Source organism: Homo sapiens, chromosome 14 (genome assembly GCF_000001405.40).
Source record: "Homo sapiens chromosome 14, GRCh38.p14 Primary Assembly".
In the NCBI taxonomy this organism is placed as follows: Eukaryota; Metazoa; Chordata; class Mammalia; order Primates; family Hominidae; genus Homo; species Homo sapiens.
Window position 1 is genome coordinate 67,860,444 of NC_000014.9, and position 21,956 is coordinate 67,882,399.

The following is a 21,956-nucleotide window of genomic DNA, read 5'->3' on the forward strand; positions in this document are numbered from 1 at the left end:
AAGAGTTTAGGTTGCATACATGTATGCACTTGTTCAAGTTTATGAAATGGTAGACTTATAATTTGCACATTTCATTGCATGTAGAATTTACTGCAAAAGGAAAAAAAGGAATAATACATGTTAAATTCTAGTTAATGCTATGCATGCTGGACTGTTGGGGGAAACTATATTAATGTGTTTGACTTACTTTGAAATGCATTAAAAAAACCCTAAGATGGATTGGTGAATGGATTAATCATACAGAAAGCATACAGTATAGTCATAGTATAGTATAACAAATACAGTAAAAATTTTAAATGCAGAGTCTAAGTGGTGGGTATATGGATGGTCCCTGTAAAAGTCTTTCAACTTTTCTGTTGCATCATCCTTAGGTAATCTATAGCAACACATAGGTTGATGTCAGATATGCAAAGAGAGTATTTCAGTATGGTATTAATGTTGTTAATTTTTCTTAAAATCTGACTGTTAGGCTGGGCATGTTGGCTCATGCCTGTAATCCTAGTACTTTGGGAGGCCAAGGTGAGAGGATTACTTTAGCTCAGGAGTTCAAGACCATCCTGGGCAACATAGTGAGACCTTGCCACTACAAAAAATAAAAAATTACCTGGGTATGGTGATGTGTGCCTGTAGTTCCAGCCGCTTGAGTGGTGGAGGTGGGAGGATTGCTTGAGCCCTGAAGGCAGAGGCTGCAGTGAGCCGTGATCATGGCACTGCACTCCAGCCTGGGTGACAGAGCGAGACCCTGTCACAAACCAAAACAAAAAAACAAAAAATCCTAACTGTTGTATAGAATCCCTAGTGTACTCTATAATGAGATGAGAAGTGACCATGAGAATCATTTGAATCACAAGAGCATCTCTGATTATCTTACAGCAAAGACTGTAAAAGAATCATTGAACTTAAAAGATGGGTTAGCTGGGCATGGTGGCTCATGCCTGTAATCTCAGCACTTTGAGAGGCTGAGGTGGGTGGATGGCTTGAGTCCTGGAGTTCAAGACCAGCCTGGGCAACATGGTGAAACCCAGTCTCTATGAAAAAAAAAGCTGGGCATGTGTGAATTTGAGGCCACTTGCAGTAAGTTATGTTCATGCCACTGCACTCCAGCCTGGGCAACAGAGTGAGAACCTGTCTTTAAAAAAAAAAAAAAAAAGATGGGTGAAGCATGTTTTTTTAAATGAAAAGACAAGAGATGTCAAATTTGCTGACCCTTTTTTGTATGACAAGTGACTATGTAATCTGCATTGCAGATTAAACACCAAGCAACCAACCAATCAATGCAACACTGTTACTTCATTTCTTCAAGGTAAAGGTAATGTTTTAACAAGGAGTGAAAATGTAACTGCCTTTTCTAAAGGCTGGGATAAAAACACAGAATGTTTTTAAAATCACTGTTTGGAATATTTCTTTTATCATGTGATTTTTGTTGTCAAAGATATGTGTGTCTTATGAAAATTTATCTGCACTCTTAAAAAATACTTGGAAAAATATTTTGTATACTCTTCAAAAATGTTACAAATAGAGTTTCAGTCAGTGGGGGGGAAGGGGGAATAGGGGAAGGAGAGATGTTGGTAAAAGGGTCTCAAGTTTGTTAGACAGTAGGAATAAATTTTGGTGATTTATTTTACAGCATGGTAACTATAGTTAGTAATAATGTTGTATATTTCAAATTGCTAGAAGAGTAGATTTTAAATGTTCCCACCAAAAAAAAGATAAGTATATGAAGTGATAGATATGTTAATTAGCTTGATTTAACCATTCTACAGTGTACTATAAACATATTTCAAAATATCATCATATTGAACTCCATAAATATATATTATTATTTATCAATTAAAAATATTAAAACAAGCAAAACCCATGATACATATCTGGTGGCAAATGAGTATCGTGGTAGAAATTCATCAAACTGCTCAGATGTGATTTGTGTACTTTTCTGGCTGATGGTCATACTTCAGTAAAACTAAATAAATGTAAGCAAAAAAAAAAAAAAGTTTCAGTGGGTTTTTAAACCAGTTGTTAAAAATGTTAAAATGTGACATGTTTTGATTCGTCTGCAAGAACAATCAATTGACGTGAAGGAAGATCAATAAAAACTTTTGCATAATTGATGGAAGGTATTGAAAAATGCAAGTAGTAATTTAGTTAAGTCCAACAAATGATGTATTTCTTTAATTTCAATCCTTGCATCTTTGTAATTATCCCCTTCTCAGCTTACAATTAAGTACTGAAATAAGTGGAACTTAGGACCTGACATTTCAATCACCGAATCACAAAATATTTACATTATTATTTTTTAAAGATACAATTTGGCTTATTATTTTCATTATTATCATTGCTCTACTTAAAATGGTAAGCTTTTATGAGAGCAAACAGATCTTTTATATAAGTAATAAATATTATAAAATGATTTTTAATGTTTATAATTTTTAATTCATACTTTGTGTGTGTTTTATACTCTATAGGACATATTAGTAAAATAGTATGTTCATAATAAATATGCATATATTGGAGGGCTGTACTAAATTTTGTTTTGATTGCTTTTTTTGGCTGGTTTGTTGGGGTATGTGGTCAAATAAGTTTGGAGAACTCTCTTTACTGATCTCTCATAATCTGGCAAGCTATTATTGACAGGAGTAATTATTTATTCTTAAAGTCTAAATGATCATTGTAAAGATTATAAACCAGCATATAGTTTTAAATATGGGAATTTTTTTTTTTTTTTTTTTTTTTTGAGACATGGTCTTGCTTTGTTGCTCTGGCTGGTCTAGAACTCCTGGGCTCAAGTGATTCTCTTGCCTCAGCCTCTGGGATTACAGGCGTGTGCTAAACATTTGTGTTTTAAGGTTGAACTTTGATAAATGAAGTTTACCTTTAGACCAAATTCTGAAACAGTGGTTCTCAAAGTATATAATAACATCAGCATTACCTGGGAACTTACTAGCGATGTAAATTCTCAGGCCATGACCCAGACCTACTGAACCAGAAATGCTGGTTAACAAGCTTTCCAGGTGATTCTGATGCTCACTCAAATCTGAGAACCACATATCTAGATGATTTAGACTCATGAATCACTCCTACTTATTTCTTCCTACTTCATAATGTATCTGAGACAGTTTCTTTATTGTATGTCTTAGTTTTAGCCCAGACTTTTTTCCCTCTCTTAGATTTTTTTTTCTTTTCCCTTCCTCTCCTCTCCCCTTCCTCTCAATGTTAAAAAAAAAGTTCTTTAGTGTTATTTTCACAAAGAAATAGTGCATTGGTTCTAAAAATTTGGGCGCCACAACTAATGTGACAAATAGCATGTGTTTAAAGGAGATATTTCTAAACATTTTCAAATTAATTTTGTTAACTACTGTATTAGTTCATTCTCACATTGCTATAAAGAACTACCTGAGACTGGGTAATTTATGAAGAAGAGAGGTGTAATCGACTCACAGTTCTGCAGGCTTAACAGGAGGCATGGTTGGGAGGCCTCAGGAAACTTACAGGGGAAGCAAGCACATCTTATTATGGCAGAACAGGAGAGAGAGAGAGACAGACAGAGACATCTTACTATGGCGGAACAGGAGAGAGAGAGACATCTTACTATGGCAGAACAGGAGAGAGAGAGAGAGAGAAAGAGAAAGTGCCACACACATTTAAACCATCAGATCTTGTGAGAACTCACTATCATGAGAACAGCAAGAGGGAAACTGCCACCATGATCTAATCACCTCCCACCAGGCCCCCTCCTCCAGTACTGGGGATTACAATTCAACCTGAGATTTGGATGGGGACACAGAGCCAAACTACTTCTAGTTACACTTGAATATGGATATAATTAATTTCCTATTATTTCCTGTCTATACTCTTTTGATTTCAACTTTTATAATCTCAAAATAGTTTTCTGCCAATGAAGATTTCAAAACAGACATTTCAAAGTAGGAATCACCTAAACTCAACAGTTGTTTATAAAGCAATAAATTTGCTTTATTTCTCTTTCTACACACATATATGCACACACATACACATTTTTATTTGCTGAACTGTTTGAAAATAAATTGTGTACATCAGTACCCTTCACCCCTAAATACTCTTAAAAATATGGATTAAAGTAGCCCTTAATGGGACTAGTGCAACATTGTTTTGAAATGCTAATTTTTAACAAATGCTCAACCATTTATTAAAGACTCTTAAATATTTTAAGGTCCTATTATAAATATCTTCATGAGGAAAAGGTATAGAATGCCAAGTTATGATGGTATAAATGAGTGAATGTTTCAGCCTTTCTCAACTAGAAGTTTCTCATCTGAACTACAAAATACAGTGGATGATTTGAGTGACTATTTTCTCAATTCCTCCAAGGATGGTACATAACTAGTGCCAATTCAGATGCAGAGGGGAGAAGTTAATTCATTCCATACAATGGATGTCTTGGGCTTAATTCTCTCCTGGGAACCCAGGTTAGTTGGACTGCATATATGGCAAAGTCTTAAAAGGATTTTGCTTTGACTGGCTTGTGATGTTTATCTAAAAAACTTTTTTTTTTTTTTTTTTTTTTTTTTTTTTTTTTTTTTTAGATTACAGGTCCACCAGGTTGTGGAAAAACTCAGTTTTGTATAATGATGAGCATTTTGGCTACATTACCCACCAACATGGGAGGATTAGAAGGAGCTGTGGTGTACATTGACACAGAGTCTGCATTTAGTGCTGAAAGGTATGAGATTTTATTTTCTATTATAATGTTTTACTTTTGTAACTTATATACAGCATGAAACATTTACACATAGGTTAACATTTACCACCCCTCCCCCTTGCCTTTTTTTTTTTTTTGAGATGGAGTCTTGCTCTGTTGCCGGGCTGGAGTGCAGTGGCACGATCTGGGCTCATGGCAATCTCCACCTCTTGGGTTCAAGCGATTCTCCTGCCTCAGCCTCCCGAGTAGCTGAGACTACAGGTATGCACCACCACACCTGGCTAATTATTCTATTTTTAGTAGAGACAGGGTTTCACCATGTTGGCCAAGCTGGTATTGAACTTCTGGCCTCAAGTGATCTGCCCACCTTGGCCTCCCAAAGTGCTGGGATTATAGGCGTGAGCCACTGTGCCTGGCTTTTTTTTTTTTTTTTTTTTTGAGATGGAGTCTCTCTCTGTCGCCCAGGTTGGAGTTCAGTGGCAGGATCTCAGCTCACTGCAACCTCCGCCTCCCGGGTTCAAGCGATTCTCCTGTCTCAGCCTCCTGAGTAGCTGGGATTACAGGCGCCCTACCACCAGGCCTAGCTAATTTTTGTATTTTTAGTAGAGACAGTGTTTCACCTTATTGGCCAGACTGCTCTTGAACTCCTGACCTTGTGATCCGCCTGCCTTGGCCTCCCAAAGTGCCGGGATTACAGGTGTGAGCCACTGCGCCTGGCCTAAATTGGTCTTTTTATAAATGTATCCCAGTAGTAAATGAATAAGGAATGATAGAATATCACCAAATTACAAACTCTGACAATCTAATGGATCTAGGCATTTAACATCACAAAAAGATGACGAGTCACTGGGGTACTTTCTGATGGAAGAACAATCAAATTTGAATGTGATCAAGGCTTCAGATCCAGCCACCAATTTACAACCTAGCTAGAGAAGAGAGGAACACATCAAACTGCTCTAGAAAATGCAATTAGCAGAATCCAAACTGTGGGAAATAACAGAACAAACAACTTGGTTTCTGTAACAAATAAATTGTAAGATTAAAAAATAGTTGGAAGGGGAACCTTTGGATTAAAACAGATTTAAAAGCCTTATTGATCAATTGCTGTGTGATTAACTTATTTGGATCTTGACTTAAATAAATGGTTAAAAAAAAGAACAGAAGAATAAACATTGAGACTACTGGAAATTTGAACATGAAAATATATTTGAGATTAAAGCTGGTAAAGACTGGTTCACTCAAATTGTCCAAGTACTCTTTAAAATGCCAATGACTAGCCTTCGACTAACAAGCCAAGTAGGTATTAAATAGCCAGTTATGTCATAAATAGCTAATGTTCAAATAGCTCTTACAAAGGTCCTGGGGAATTTGGGTAAAGAATTCAAAGATTAAGATTATTTTTATAACAGCAGTTCAGTTCACTGTAATGGATTTCTGCTTTCTTTGCACCACATACAAAACAGAGTTTAGGATGTCTTCTTAAGGAGGAAACTGTTGCATGTTATTTTATTACCAGTATTACAGTTCAGAGCAGTGTAAAAACCTTATCAATGAATTGGGTGATATCAGCATACATACAGAAGACTAGCAGGTGACTTGTCTGCATTTTCCAAATGAATTTGTGGAGAGTCTTATGTTTTTTGTCTTTGCATAGAGCCTTAATTATTTACTTTTTGAATCCCCCATATTTACTTATTTCTCCTTCATATCTTTTTCTGCCAATGTGCATGTTGGTATTTACATCAGAGGCAGGTTGGAAAATGAAGAGGTAATATTTTAGCTCCTTTGTTGGAATTACGTTGCATAGTTCACAAGGAGCTCTTATGAAGGTCATTTGAGAATAGGGGTTGAACTTTATATTGTATTTGGTTTTTTATTCCATTCTCCACAAGGCTTAAAATGAGTGATCATCTGGCTCACACATGGAATGGATTTTGAGGTCTGGTGATAGGGCCAAGTAGAATAAAAAATATGAATGCTCTCCGATATATATGCCAGATTTGGCATTCTTATACTACCTTCTAGTTTGTCATGGTGGGTCATAGAATGGAACTGGCCCTGTAGTGTCTGATCACATTTCATTCATTCTGTTACAGGACAGCTTAACCCCTATTTGGAATTATCAGGAAAGGTTGGCCAATCGGTTAGGAAAGCTTACTGCTGCAGATAACTGAGTATCCAAAGAACAGTAGCTTAAACAAAAAGAGGTTTATTTCTCTCATATAACAAGACCTGAGTAGGTGGTTGCTGGCACTGGGTCACTCAGGTCTCAGTGATGACAGAGAGACCTAGGGCATGCACATTTTCAGACATCGGATTCATTCTGTGCTCAAGTCAGTGTGAAGAAAAAGGGCCAGCTATATCTTTTATCAGGAAAGTGTACTTTTATTCATAATATCTGCCTCCTCCCATCTGTGGATTTCCTTTTTGTTGCCTGTAGTCCTCTTGTAGATTTCTCACTGAGTCACCTCTATATGTAAAAAGAGGCTGGGAAAGTGAGGGGAGAAGATCGTCGTAACAATCATGATGAGTTGTCTGGTTAATATTGCTGCCTGAATAAAACTGGGGCTCTCATAGCGAGGAAGAAGTGGAAATGGATATTGGATTGGTAATTAACAGTTTCTGTCCCAGCCCCAGCTGTTTCTGGACTTAGAGAAGAGGTAAGGCAGGGAAATATGAGACGCAAAAAGGACTATGTTGTAGCTCTGTATGTGTTCACATTGTCTCCACTTTGTGCTTGCAAAGCTAGCCGGCTAACCAGCACAAATGAGAAAGTGTTTAAAGGATTAATATGATGAAGGATTAAAGGATTCACATATATAGAATTTAGGGTACGTGAGAAAAAGTTGAAAATAATTTCTTCCTATAAATATCTAGATATCTTTTTACTAAGAAGGAGAGAGAAATCAAAGGAGGAATAAATACAAACTACTTAGGTTTAAAATGTATTAAAGAGGGAGGAGCCAAGATGGCCGAATAGGAACAGCTCTGGTCTACAGCTCCCAGCATGAGCGACGCAGAAGATGGGTGATTTCTGCATTTCCATCTGAGGTACCGGGTTCATCTCACTAGGGAGTGCCAAACAGTGGGCGCAGGTCAGTGGGTGCCCGCACCACATGCAAGCCGAAGCAGGGCGAGGCATTGCCTCACTCGGGAAGCGCAAGGGGTCAGGGAGTTCCCTTTCCGAGTCAAAGAAAGGGGTGACAGACGGCACCTGGAAAATCGGGTCACTCCCACCCGAATACTGTGCTTTTCCGACGGGCTTAAAAAACAGAGCATCAGGAGATTATATCCCGCACCTGGCTCAGAGGGTCCTACGCCCATGGAGTCTCACTGATTGCTAGCACAGCAGTCTGAGATCAAACTGCAAGGCGGCAGCGAGGCTCAGGGAGGGGCACCCGCCATTGCCCAGGCTTGCTTAGGTAAACAAAGCAGCCAGGAAGCTCGAACTGGGTGGAGCCCACCACAGCTCAAGGAGGCCTGCCTGCCTCTGTAGGCTCCACCTCTGGGGGCAGGGCACAGACAAACAAAAAGACAGCAGTAACCTCTGCAGACATAAATGTCCCTGTCTGACAGCTTTGAAGAGAGCAGTGGTTCTCCCAGCACGCAGCTGGAGATCTGAGAACGGGCAGACTGCCTCCTCAAGTGGGTCCCTGACCCCTGACCCCCGAGCAGCCTAACTGGGAGGCATCCCTCAGCAGGGGCAGACTGACACCTCACACGGCCGGGTACTCCAGCAGACCTGCAGCTGAGGGTCCTGTCTGTTAGAAGGAAAACTAACAAACAGAAAGGACATCCACACCAAAAACCCATCTGTACATCACCATCATCAAAGACCAAAAGTAGATAAAACCACAAAGATGGGGAAAAAACAGAGCAGAAAAACTGGAAACTCTGAAAAGCAGAGCGACTTTCCTCCTCCAAAGGAACGCAGTTCCTCACCAGCAACGGAACAAAGCTGGATGGAGAATGACTTTGACGAGCTGAGAGAAGAAGGCTTCAGATGATCAAATTACTCCGAGCTACGGGAGGACATTCAAACCAAAGGCAAAGAAGTTGAAAACTTTGAAAAAAATTTAGAAGAATGTATAACTAGAATAACCAAGACAGGGAAGTGCTTAAAGGAGCTGATGGAGCTGAAAACCAAGGCTCGAGAACTATGTGAAGAATGCAGAAGCCTCAGGAGCCGATGCAATCAACTGGAAGAAAGGGTATCAGCGATGGAAGATGAAAGGAATGAAATGAAGCAAGAAGGGAAGTTTAGAGAAAAAAGAATAAAAAGAAATGAGCAAAGCCTCCAAGAAATATGGGACTATGTGAAAAGACCAAATCTACGTCTGATTGGTGTACCTGAAAGTGACGGGGAGAATGGAACCAAGTTGGAAAACACTCTGCAGGATATTATCCAGGAGAACTTCCCCAATCTAGCAAGGCAAGCCAACATTCAGATTCAGGAAATACAGAGAACGCCACAAAGATACTCCTCAAGAAGAGCAACTCCAAGACACATAATTGTCAGATTCACCAAAGTTGAAATGAAGGAAAAAATGTTAAGCGCAGCCAGAGAGAAAGGTCGGGTTACCCTCAAAGGGAAGCCCATCAGACTAACAGCAGATCTCTTGGCAGAAACTCTACAAGCCAGAAGAGAGTGGGGGCCAACATTCAACATTCTTAAAGAAAAGAATTTTCAACCCAGAATTTCATATCCAGCCAAACAAGCTTCATAAGTGAAGGAGAAATAAAATACTTTACAGACAAGCAAATGCTGAGAGATTTTGTCACCACCAGGTCTGCCCTAAAAGAGCTCCTGAAGGAAGCGCTAAACATGGAAAGGAACAACCGGTACCAGCCGCTGCAAAATCATGCCAAAATGTAAAGACCATCGAGACTAGGAAGAAACTGCATCAACTAATGAGCAAAATAACCAGCTAACATCATAATGACAGGATCAAATTCACACATAACAATATTAACTTTAAATGTAAATGGACTAAATGCTCCAATTAAAAGACACAGACTGGCAAATTGGATAAAGAGTCAAGACCCATCAGTGTGCTGTATTCAGGAAACCCATCTCACGTGCAGAGACACACATAGGCTCAAAATAAAAGGTTGGAGGAAGATCTACCAAGCAAATGGAAAACAAAAAAAGGCAGGGGTTGCAATCCGAATCTCTGATAAAACAGACTTTAAACCAACAAAGATCAAAAGAGACAAAGAAGGCCGTTACATAATGGTAAAGGGATCAATTCAACAAGAAGAGCTAACTATCCTAAATATATATGCACCCAATACAGGAGCACCCAGATTCATAATGCAAGTCCTGAGTGACCTACAAAGAGACTTAGACTCCCACACATTAATAATGGGAGACTTTAACACCCCACTGTCAACATTAGACAGATCAACGAGACAGAAAGTCAACAAGGATACCCAGGAATTGAACTCAGCTCTGCACCAAGCAGACCTAATAGACATCTACAGAACTCTCCACCCCAAATCAACAGAATATACATTTTTTTCAGCACCACACCACACCTATTCCAAAATTGACCACATACTTGGAAGTAAAGCTCTCCTCAGCAAATGTAAAAGAACAGAAATTATAACAAACTATCTCTCAGACCACAGTGCAATCAAACTAGAACTCAGGATTAAGAATCTCACTCAAAACCGCTCAACTACATGGAAACTGAACAACCTGCTCCTGAGTGACTACTGGGTACATAACGAAATGAAGGCAGAAATAAAGATGTTCTTTGAAACCAACGAGAACAAAGACACAACATACCAGAATCTCTGGGACGCATTTAAAGCAGTGTGTAGAGGGAAATTTATAGCACTAAATGCCCACAAGAGAAAGCAGGAAAGATCCAAAATTGACAGCCTAACATCACAATTAAAGGAACTAGAAAAGCAAGAGCAAACACATTCAAAAGCTAGCAGAAGGCAGGAAATAACTAAAATCAGAGCAGAACTGAAGGAAATAGAGACACAAAAAACCCTTCAAAAAATTGATGAATCCAGGAGCTGGTTTTTTGAAAGGATCAGCAAAATTGATAGACCGCTAGCAAGACTAATAAAGAAAAAAAGAGAGAAGAATCAAATAGATGCAATAAAAAATGATAAAGGGGATATCATCACCGATCCCACAGAAATACAAACTACCATCAGAGAATACTACAAACACCTCTATGCAAATAAACTAGAAAATCTAGAAGAAATGGATAAACTTCTGGACACATACACTCTCCCAAGACTAAACCAGGAAGAAGCTGAATCTCTGAATAGACCAATAACAGGGTCTGAAATTGTGGCAGTAATCAATAGCTTACCAACCAAAAAGAGTCCAGGACTAAATGGATTCACAGCCGAATTCTACCAGAGGTACAAGGAGGAACTGGTACCATTCCTTCTGAAACTATTCCAATCAATAGAAAAAGAGGGAATCCTCCCTAACTGATTTTATGAGGCCAGCATCATCCTGATACCAAAGCCGGGCAGAGACACAACCAAAAAAGAGAATTTTAGACCAATATCCTTGATGAACATTGATGCAAAAATCCTCAATAAAATACTGGCAAACCGAATCCAGCAACACATCAAAAAGCTTATCCACCATGATCAAGTGGGCTTCATCCCTGGGATGCAAGGCTGGTTCAATATATGCAAATCAATAAATGTAATCCAGCATATAAACAGAACCAAAGACAAAAACCACATGATTATCTCAATAGATGCAGAAGAGGCCTTTGACAAAATTCAACAGCCCTTCATGCTAAAAACTCTCAATAAATTAGGTATTGATGGGACGTATTTCAAAATAATAAGAGCTATCTATGACAAACCCACAGCCAATATCATACTGAATGGGCAAAAACTGGAAGCATTCCCTTTGAAAACTGGCACAAGACAGGGATGCCCTCTCTCACCACTTCTATTTAACATAGTGTTGGAAGTTCTGGTCAGGGCAATTAGGCAGGAGAAGGAAATAAAGGGTATTCAATTAGGAAAAGAGGAAGTCAAATTGTCCCTGTTTGCAGACGACATGATTGTATATCTAGAAAACCCCATTGTCTCAGCCGAAAATCTCCTTAAGCTGATAAGCAACTTCAGCAAAGTCTCAGGATACAAAATCAATGTACAAAAATCACAAGCATTCTTATACACCAACAACAGACAAACAGAGAGCCAAATCATGAGTGAACTCCCATTCACAATTGCTTCAAAGAGAATAAAATACCTAGGAATCCAACTTACAAGGGATGTGAAGGACCTCTTCAAGGAGAACTACAAACCACTGCTCAAGGAAATAAAAGAGGATACAAACAAATGGAAGAACATTCCATGCTCACGGGTAGGAAGAATCAATATCGTGAAAATGGCCATACTGCCCAAGGTAATTTACAGATTCAATGCCATCCCCATCAAGCTACCAATGACTTTCTTCACAGAATTGGAAAAAACTACTTTAAAGTTCATATGGAACCAAAAAAGAGCCCGCATCGCCAAGTCAATCCTGAGCCAAAAGAACAAGGCTGGAGGCATCACACTACCTGACTTCAAACTATACTACAAGGCTACAGTAACCAAAACAGCATGGTACTGGTACCAAAACAGAGATATAGATCAATGGAACAGAACAGAGCCCTCAGAAATAATGCCGCATATCTACAACTATCTGATCTTTGACAAACCTGAGAAAAACAAGCAATGGGGAAAGGATTCCCTATTTAATAAATGGTGCTGGGAAAACTGGCTAGCCATATATAGAAAGCTGAAACTGGATGCCTTCCTTACACCTTATACAAAAATCAATTCAAGATGGATTAAAGACTTAAATGTAAGACCTAAAACCATAAAAACCCTAGAAGAAAACCTAGGCATTACCATTCAGGACATAGGCATGGGCAAGGACTTCATGTCTAAAACACTTAAAGCAATGGCAACAAAAGCCAAAATTGACAAATGGGATCTAATTAAACTAAAGAGCTTCTGCACAGCAAAAGAAACTACCATCAGAGTGAACAGGCAACCTAAAAAATGGGAGAAAATTTTCGCAACCTACTCGTCTGACAAAGGGCTAATATCCAGAATCTACAATGAACTCAAACAATTTACAAGAAAAAAACAAACAACCCCATCAAAAAGTGGGCGAAGGACATGAACAGACACTTCTCAAAAGAAGACATTTATGCAGCCAAAAACACATGAAAAAATGCTCACCATCACTGGCCATCAGAGAAATGCAACTCAAAACCACAATGAGATACCATCTCACACCAGTTAGAATGGCAATCATTAAAAAGTCAGGAAACAACAGGTGCTGGAGAGGATGTGGAGAAATAGGAACACTTTTACACTGTTGGTGGGACTGTAAACTAGTTCAACCATTGTGGAAGTCAGTGTGGCGATTCCTCAGGGATCTAGAACTAGAAATACCATTTGACCCAGCCATCCAATTACTGGGTATATACCCAAGGGACTATAAATCATGCTGCTATAAAGACACATGCACACGTATGTTTATTGTGGCATTATTCACAATAGCAAAGACTTGGAACCAACCCAAATGTCCAACAATGATAGACTGGATTAAGAAAGCGTGGCACATATACACCATGGAATACTATGCAGCCATAAAAAATGATGAGTTCATGTCCTTTGTAGGGACATGGATGAAATTGGAAATCATCATTCTCAGTAAACTATCACAAGAACAAAAAACCAGACACTGCATATTCTCACTCATAGGTGGGAATTGAACAATGAGAACACATGGACACAGGAAGGGGAACATCACACTCTGGGGACTGTTGTGGGGTAGGGGGAGGGGGGAGGGATAGCATTGGGAGATATACCTAATGCTAGATGACGAGTTAGTGGGTGCAGCGCAGCAGCATGGCACATGTATACATATGTAACTAACCTGCACATTGTGCACATATACCCTAAAACTTAAAGTATAATAATAATAAATTAATTAATTAAAAAAATGTATTAAAGAAAACAAGAAGAAAACCCAGGAGATGATATACTTAAAAGCACTTTGGAAAGGTCAGTTCTATTTTTAGAAGCAATGCACTAACCAATTTATTTTACATGTCTTTTAGAAGATAGTAATCTAAAATAGTTGTTAATCATGCTTGTTCATCATAGACTGCAATTGTATCTCCAGACTATTTAACAATTTTAACAGGTTTGTTGAACCCACAGCCCGTGGGCCGCATACAGCCCAGGATGGCTTTGAATGTGGCCCAACAAATTCATAAACTTTCTTAAAGCGTTATGACTTTTTTTGTGATTTTTTTTTTTAAAGCCCATCAGCTATCATTAGTGTTAGTGTATTTTATATGTGGCCCTAGACAATTCTTTTTCTTCCTCTGGGGCCCAAGGATATCAAAGTTGGACACCCTTGAATTAGATAATTGTGTAGCCTGGCGCTAACCAGACTGAGTTACAGGGACTGCCTTGGGGAGAGGGGAATGCTATTCAGGCAAAGATCTAGATCCTCTTCTGATTGATCCAGAGAAGATCTGCTGTTTTTTTGTTGTTTTTTTTTAACCTACTGGACTTCTGCTTAAGATCTCATATAGTCTTAGGCACCATATGCTTGTATATACCTTGAGAATGTAGATAAATAGATTAATCCAGTGACCCATCCCCATATTCTAGTCTATGAAAATTTTGGCAACCATGAGAATTCCAGTTTACATGAACTGAATTAACAATATATTGTCCGTATTAGAGACAGTTACAAAAAGATGGAACTGTGGGTTAAGAATAAAAAATGAAGGTAATATGGATGGCAAATAGTAATAGAAGTATTGAAATAATGTTTTTGGAGAAATAAAATGGATAAAGGAAAGTAAAGTTGGGTCTTAGAACTGCAAATTGAAGGGGATCAATAAGCATGTGAGAAAAACTGAGGGATGTAGGGAAGTAAGAGATGAGAGCCAGGACTCTGGAAGGTGGGAACCTGAGGAGGTAGGATATAGGACTGGAATTTTAGGAGGTAGAAGTGGATATTCCTGAGTTGTAATGAAATCAGAAAAGCTTTGAAAATTGGGAAGACAATTAGTCCAGCAAGGGAGGAAGACATTAATCAAATAATCACTAAAATGTGAAATTGTAAATATTATAACTTAGTATACAAAGGAGAGGTACTTGTATTGGTAGTGTGTGGGAGCAATGGCTAAGCTTAGATCTGAGGAAGCTGCTGTATTTGGTGTGCATGTCACCTCTCAGGGTGCCAAGTTCCCCACAGATAGTTATCTTTAACACCTAGCAAACTACAGTCATGTGCTACATAACAACATTTCAGTCGAGGATGGATTGCATATAAGATGGTGGTTGCATAAGATTATAATACCATAATTTTTCTGTATCTTATTAAAGTTTAGATACAAAGATATTTGTCACTGTGTTACAATTGCCTACAATATTCAGTACAGTAACACTCTGCACAGGTTTGTAGCCTAGGAGCAATAGGCTATACCATATAGCCTCAGTGTGTAGTAGGCTATACTATCTAGGTTTGTAGAAGTACACTTTATGATGTTCGCACAATAGTGAAATTGCCTAATGACACATTTCTCAGTACATATCCCCATTATTATGCGCCATACAGCTGTATTTAGAGTGTCATTCTTTCTGGATTTGTATATAAAATTGGAGGCATAGCAGGGAGTGGTAGTGGCCAGCCATGACTCAGGCTGATTCTGAAGGTAATACCAGTGTGGTCTTAAGACCATTGACATATTGACATATTTGCTTGTTGGTATAAATTTGGAATCTTTGACCCAGAAAGAAACAATAGGGGAGATAAATTCCCTCTTAATCATTTTTTTGAGATAGTTTCATGACACTGGGTAGGTTTTCCTCAGTTCAGTTCCAGCTGCCTTATCATTTGTGAATCTAGGTGAATTAGTGGGGAGGGAGATCCTGAAAAGTTTCTCAGATAGAAAGTAGAATTAGTCATAAGTACTTATTACTGTAACAAAGGTTTGGAATATTCTGGAATCTGTAATGAATTAATAGATTCATATCATTATATTCAGTAATATATATTGAATGATGAATGAACAGAGATATAGTACGTATGTACAAGAAGCTTTGAGAAGCAATAAGCCTACATTTTAGCATATTTATGATGCTACATTTTAACTAAGATTTTGGAAAACTTTTTACATTAAGCGTATGTTTTATTTCAAGTTGGCATGTGGTCACTAATGAAAAGCTTTTATTTTTCCTTTTATATAAGAGCTATGAAGTCACATAGGGAACTAATAATTTTGTACAGGGTTTTGCTCCTTAATTGACATATGCCTTTTGATTCTGGAACTGATTACGAAAGAAGTCTATCTGTATCCATGAGCAGTTAACTCTTTCCAGAATTGGAATCTTTAAAGTGCATTGTAGCTATCAGGTCCAAATTAAGGCATAGATAGTCACTTGCCAGGTGAGATTTGATGGCAAAAGAAAAACTAAAATGTGGCCTAGAACTTCTTTTTCTTTTAAAAGAGGAGCACTTCTAACCATTTTCTGAGGCATTCTACCACAGTAAATCCTTTGATTGTGGGATTGATAGTTAGCATTATTTGTGTATCAGAAATGAGTCGTTCTGGCAGTGGGACATTGAGAGTGGATGTAGGGTTAGGCTAAGTTAGATGATATGGAAGGGGAAGTTGGGAAGTCGGTGGTGTTTTACCTCAGGACATCTCCACTAGCAATTGATATGCAAATGATTCATCCAGGGAGGGAGGAGATTTTAGAAATAAAGCTCTTAATAGGTTTTCAGGGATATTGTTTTGGGGTTTGATGGACTAAGAGTATAAAGGTAGCTTTTCTGACAGCATGGCCCTTTAGAATGGTACTACCTCCATTTTATGAATTAGTAGTTATCAGTTGAGGGAGTAAGGCAGACAGTTTCCCCTTTAGTAGGTATTTTGGGAATTTGTAGGGGGGTGCAAGAAGAAATTTTTTTTTTACAGTAATAAATAGATGTGGTCCAGGGATGCTAGCCATTCTGTAATGTGAGGGTCATTAAGACTGATAATGCTATAAATAATATTTTATAAATTAGAGCATTTTGCAGCATGATATAATTGACATTCATCTCAGTTGATGCATACAGCAGCACTGTCAGGTAAGGAGCGGGGTATTATGATCTTCATTTTAGAAATAAGCAAAATGGGACTCAGAAACCATGTGATTTGCCCAAGATCATATGGCTAATAAGATAGCTGAGAGGTGAACTCATATCCTCTTTCCACTGAACTGTGGTTGGAAAAAATGATTGACTCCGAGAAAAGATCCAAGTAGTGTTTTCATTCATTCATTCAGTAATGCCTGTTTGACATTTGGGCTTTCTGTCTATGAATCTATCTTTATCCCATTTCCCATTGGGCTTCTAGTCTTTTTATTCTTGATTTGCAGAAGCTTTTTGTGTGTCTTCTAGATATTGTTTGTCAGTTTTACACATTGAAAATATCTCCTCCTGCTCTGTTATCTGTCATCTTTGTAGTGTCCTTTATTGAAGAGAAATTTATAATTTAAAAAAATTTATTAGAGACGAGGTTTCACTCAGGCTAGAGTGCAGTGGCACAATCATAGCTCACTGCTGTCTCGACTTACTGGGTACAAGGGATCCCCTTGCTTTAGCCTCCCAAATAGCTGGGACTGTAGACGTGTGCTACCACGCCTGGCTAATTAAAAAAATTTTTTTGTAGAGCTGGGGTCTCACCATCTTGCCCAAACTGGTCTCAAACTCCTGGGCTCAAGCAGCCCTCCTGCTTCCGCCTCCCAAACTGCTTGAATTCCAAGCATAAGCCGCCATGCCTGGCCAGAAATTTGTAAATTTGAAGTTGTTGCCTAATGGTATTGGTTTTCAGATCTTAATTAACAAGTTTTCCCCCACTATTAGTTATCAAGATATTGTCTTACAGTTTTTTCCTAATATAGTTATAGTTTTATCTTTTATGTCAATATCTTTAATCCATCAGAAATCCATTAAGGATATATTTTAAATTTTTGTATAAACTGCCACATTCTCCTCTAGAAATATTTTACATAATTGTATCTCAACCAATAGTACTTTGAGAGCCTTCATCACTGTTTTTAGTTTCTTTAATTTTGTCATACTTGCGGGAAAAAAGTGATAGCTCATTGTTTTAACTATTGTGAACCAACATCTTTTCATATATTCATTGTCCATTTATATTTCTTTGGCAAATTACCTAGAAATACACTTTGTCCATTTTTTCTTATTGATATATATAAATACTTTGTGTATTATGGATATTTATGTTTATATGATTTTTTTCCTGGGCTATAATTCTATAATTTATCTTTCAACTTTGGTTATGCTATCTTTTGTTATCTATGATTTCTTTGGTGGTTGATCTTTCAGATTTTGCTTTATGGCTGTAGTTTTTAAAGTTTTAATTTTCAGGGCCCTTAAACTCTAGGTGGATTATATCAATTGATATTTATCATATTAGGAATTTAAACTGGAAAATTTAAAGAATATTTAACTATTATCTATTATGCAGTAAGTCCATTACATGGTATGTGTTTTTTTGTGTGTTTGTTTTTGTTTTTGAGATGGAGTCTCACTGTCGCCGGGCTTGAGTGCAGTGGTGTGATCTTGGTTCACTATAACCTCCACTTCCTGGGTTCAAGCGATTCTCCTTACTCAGCCTCCCGAATAGTTGCAATTACAGGTGCCCACCAGTGCGCCTGCCACCATGCCTGGCTAATTTTTGAATTTTTAAATTAAAGACGGGGTTTCGCCATGTTGGCCAGGCTGGTCTCGAACTCCTGACCTCAAGTGATCTGTTCATCTCAGCCTCCCAAAGTCCTGGGATTACAGGCGTGAGCCACTGTGCCTGGCCATTACATGTTAGCATATTGTACCAAACAGGGCTCCATTAGGAAAATAGAACCAGTAGAACATATATTAAGAGAGTTATTGCAAAGAATTGGCATATGCAGATGTGGAGTTGTCTGAAATCCATAGGGCAGGCTGTTGGAAAGGGCAGGCTAGAACTCTCAGGCAAGGGCCTAAGCTGTAGTCCATAGGTGGAATTTCATCTTTTTAAAGGAAGTCTCAGCTCTGCTGTTAAGGCTTTTCAAGTGATTGAATTAGCCCACCCAGATTATGTAGGATAATCTCTAGTACTTAAAGTCATCTGTTTATGGACATTAATGACATCTACAAAATCCTTTCATAACAATGCATAGATTAGTGTTTGATTGAATAACAGGAGACTGTGGACTAGCCAAGTTGACACAAAACTGACTGTCATATATTTTTTGTTTGTTTTTTGTTTTTTTTTTAAGAGACAGGGCCTCGCTCTGTCACCCAGGCTGGAGTGCAGTGACATGATCATAGTTCACTGTAACCTCCAGCTCCCGGACTTAAGAGAGCCTCCTGCCTCAGCCTCCTGAGTAGCTGGGACTACAGATGTGAGCCACTGCACCTGGACTTTACATGTATTTTTTATGGAAAATAAATACATTTTTGACTAAAAAAAGTGAAAAAAGAGTGGCGTTGTTTTATGTTTTTGCAAATCTCTTTAGTGTCTGACTTAATAGAAGACAGCCTGATTCTAATATCTGCTTCTGCATTCAGTCTGTTGCACTCTGTTGTTTTGGTTGAGATATGAAGATCTGGCCTTATACTGGTTATAGTTGGAAAGGGAGGAATATTTTAATAGTCTCTTCAGATAATTAAAGATATGCTTCTTTGATACTACACCAGGAATTGAGTAATAGTTGCTTAGAGGTTAGTTGTGATATAGAATCTGAAACCATATTATTGCATTTTTTCTACAGTTACATTAAAATCTATTCATCTGTCTTAGGCTCTTAATGGATATTTACCTATGCATGATTTTGTAATATTATGCATTTATCACTCAGAAAATATTGGTTCACTGTCTTATGGAGTTCTAAATGTTGACACATTTTATTACTCAATATAAAAAAATTTCATTAGTATCTCCACTGATCTGAACAAAAAGTATTTAAGTATTGGGATGCAGTCAAACTCATGGTAGCAGATGTAAGTTTTTTAGGAATCTGATTTTTCATTAAAAGCTTGAATTTTATCATTGGCAATAAATATTGCCACTTGTTTTTCTTGAAGTGTCGGGCTTACTTTGCTCATTTTGAGAAAACGTCTACCAAATACTTAAGTCAGAAAAACCATAACTTATCTATCAATCATTCTTTCAAGTAAAAATGGTCTCCCATGGAAAAAGTGACTTCTTAGTCTGAGAACCCAATTGTACAGATGTTTTTCCTTGAGACAATGGTTGTACTTCAGAATGTAGTAGAAGTGCTTCTATTTTGTCAAACAGAATATTAAAAATATGTCTGTGTTCTAATAAAACTCTATTGACAAAAACAGGCAATGGGCCATAGTGCACAGTTTGACAACCCCTGCTTTATTTAACTCCTTGAGCAAATGTAGAAGATTAATAATAGCCGTTTTGAGGTTTTTATCCATGAATGCCATCATATATATAATTTTTTAAATCTGTTTTTATTGACTGATTTTTCTCCTGGTAATGGATCTTTTCCTCTTCCTTTACTTGTCTGGTAATTTTTCAATTCGATGTTAAACATTGTAAATTTTACGTTGTTGGTGGGTGCTGGATTTTAACATATGTTTTTCAAGAGTGTTAGGTTTTGTTTTAAGGTACATTTTAGTATTAGTTTGATCCTTTTGCAGGTTGCTTTTCTATGTTGTTATGGAAAAATCCCAGGTACAGTCATGCTTCGCTTAACAATTGGGATATGTTCTGAGAAATGCATTGTTAGGCAATTTCATTGTTGTATGAACACCCTACAGTGTACTTACATGCACCTAGATGGTATAGCCTACTGCGCACCTAGACTATATGGTATAGCCTATTGCTTCTAGGCTATGAACCTGTACAGCATGTTACTGTATTGAATAGGCAATTACAACACAATGGTAAGTATTTGTGTATCTAAACAAAGGAAAGGTATTGTAAAAATATACTATATAAGCTTATGGGACCACTGTTGTATAAGTGATGCATCATTGACTGAAATGTCGTTATGCAGCACATGACTGTGGTTTTTTATTCTGAAACTTATTTAGCTTCACTACTAAGGTAAAATCCTTCTGAAAATTCTGCCCAATGCCCAGTGTATAATAAGGTCTCTTTATTCTTCACCTTGTGTAAACCCGAACTGTTCTCACCCTGTGTGGGCACTAGGAAGTGTTCAGTCTGATACTTTCTGGTGGTTCTTTCCTCAACCTCAAGTAGTTTCCCTTCACACATGTGCAGATTAGTTCTCAAGTGGCCCTCTCTGCAGATCTTTGCAGTGCTCACTCTGCACACCTGCTTCCTCTCTGGTACTCTGCCCCATAAGTTCTAGCCACCTTAGCTTTCCCAAACTCCGATCCCCATCTCCTCAACTCAGGTTGTCTACCAGGCTCTGTTTACTTTCCCTTTCTTGTGTTGCAGCCTGGAAACTGCCTCTGGAGCAAACTGAGGTGATTGTAAGCTCATTGTGTTTGTTTCCTTTCTCTCAAGGATTACAGTCTCAAGCTTTCTATTGTTCAGTACCTGAAAACTCTTATTTCATGTATTCTGTCTGATTTTCTACTTATTATTTTAGTGCAATTCATGTACCAGTTAATCCTTTGTGGGCTAAAGTGGAAATCCCTTCTTTCATTCTCTCTTGAGTTCACTCTATCCAGGCTTAAGTTTCCAGCTCTATAATGCAACTGATTTAAAAAATTTTATCCAACCCAATAGCAGCATTCGAAAGAGTTGATCACTCACTTTTTCTTGAAAAGCTCTCTTCCCTTGACTTTTTATTTTTTTAGACAGGTTCTCACCTAACTCTGTCACCCAGGCTGGAGTACAGTGGTGCTATCATGGTTCACTGCAGCTTTGACCCCTCAGACTCAAGCAATCCTCTCACCTCAGCCTCTCGAGTAGCTGGGACCACAGGCATATGCCACCATGCCCAGCTAATTTTTTAATTTTTAGTACAGATAAGGTTTTGGTATGTTGCCCTGGTTGGTCTTAAACTTCTGGGCTCAAGAGATCCTCCTGCCTTGGCCTCCTAAAGTGTTGGGATTATAGGCATGAGCCACCATGCCCAGCCCACTTGGCTTCTTGGAACTATTCTCTCTTCTTTTACACCTACCTTCTTGGTCACCTCCTCCTCTCAGTCCCTTTTGCTGGATCCTCCTCATCATTTTAACTTCTAGGCTTTGGGGAATCCCAGAACT

General features: G+C 38.2%; 1 protein-coding gene across 12 annotated transcripts in view, besides 1 other annotated feature; it reads left to right on the forward strand.

Moving 5' to 3' along the window:
• RAD51B (RAD51 paralog B) overlaps nt 1-21,956 on the forward strand; it is an 863,318-nt gene that overhangs the window by 40,665 nt on the left and 800,697 nt on the right. For 11 of the 12 annotated variants that reach the window (NM_001321818.2, NM_001321809.2, NM_001321821.2 and 8 more), the window contains one exon: nt 4,560-4,696. In NM_001321818.2, coding sequence (NP_001308747.1) covers nt 4,560-4,696 — 137 coding nt within the window. Of the gene's footprint in view, nt 1-4,344; nt 4,443-4,559; nt 4,697-21,956 lie in introns of all 12 variants that reach the window. The other variant, NM_001321817.2, reaches the window with a different exon arrangement.
• Nucleotides 8,183-8,682: an enhancer, noted in NCBI's record as "H3K4me1 hESC enhancer chr14:68335343-68335842 (GRCh37/hg19 assembly coordinates)". NCBI's record gives its function as "activates a minimal SCP1, AML or CMV promoter by ChIP-STARR-seq in naive H9 embryonic stem cells {active_cell/tissue: H9 hESC(naive)}" and the evidence as "EXISTENCE:reporter gene assay evidence [ECO:0000049][PMID:30033119]".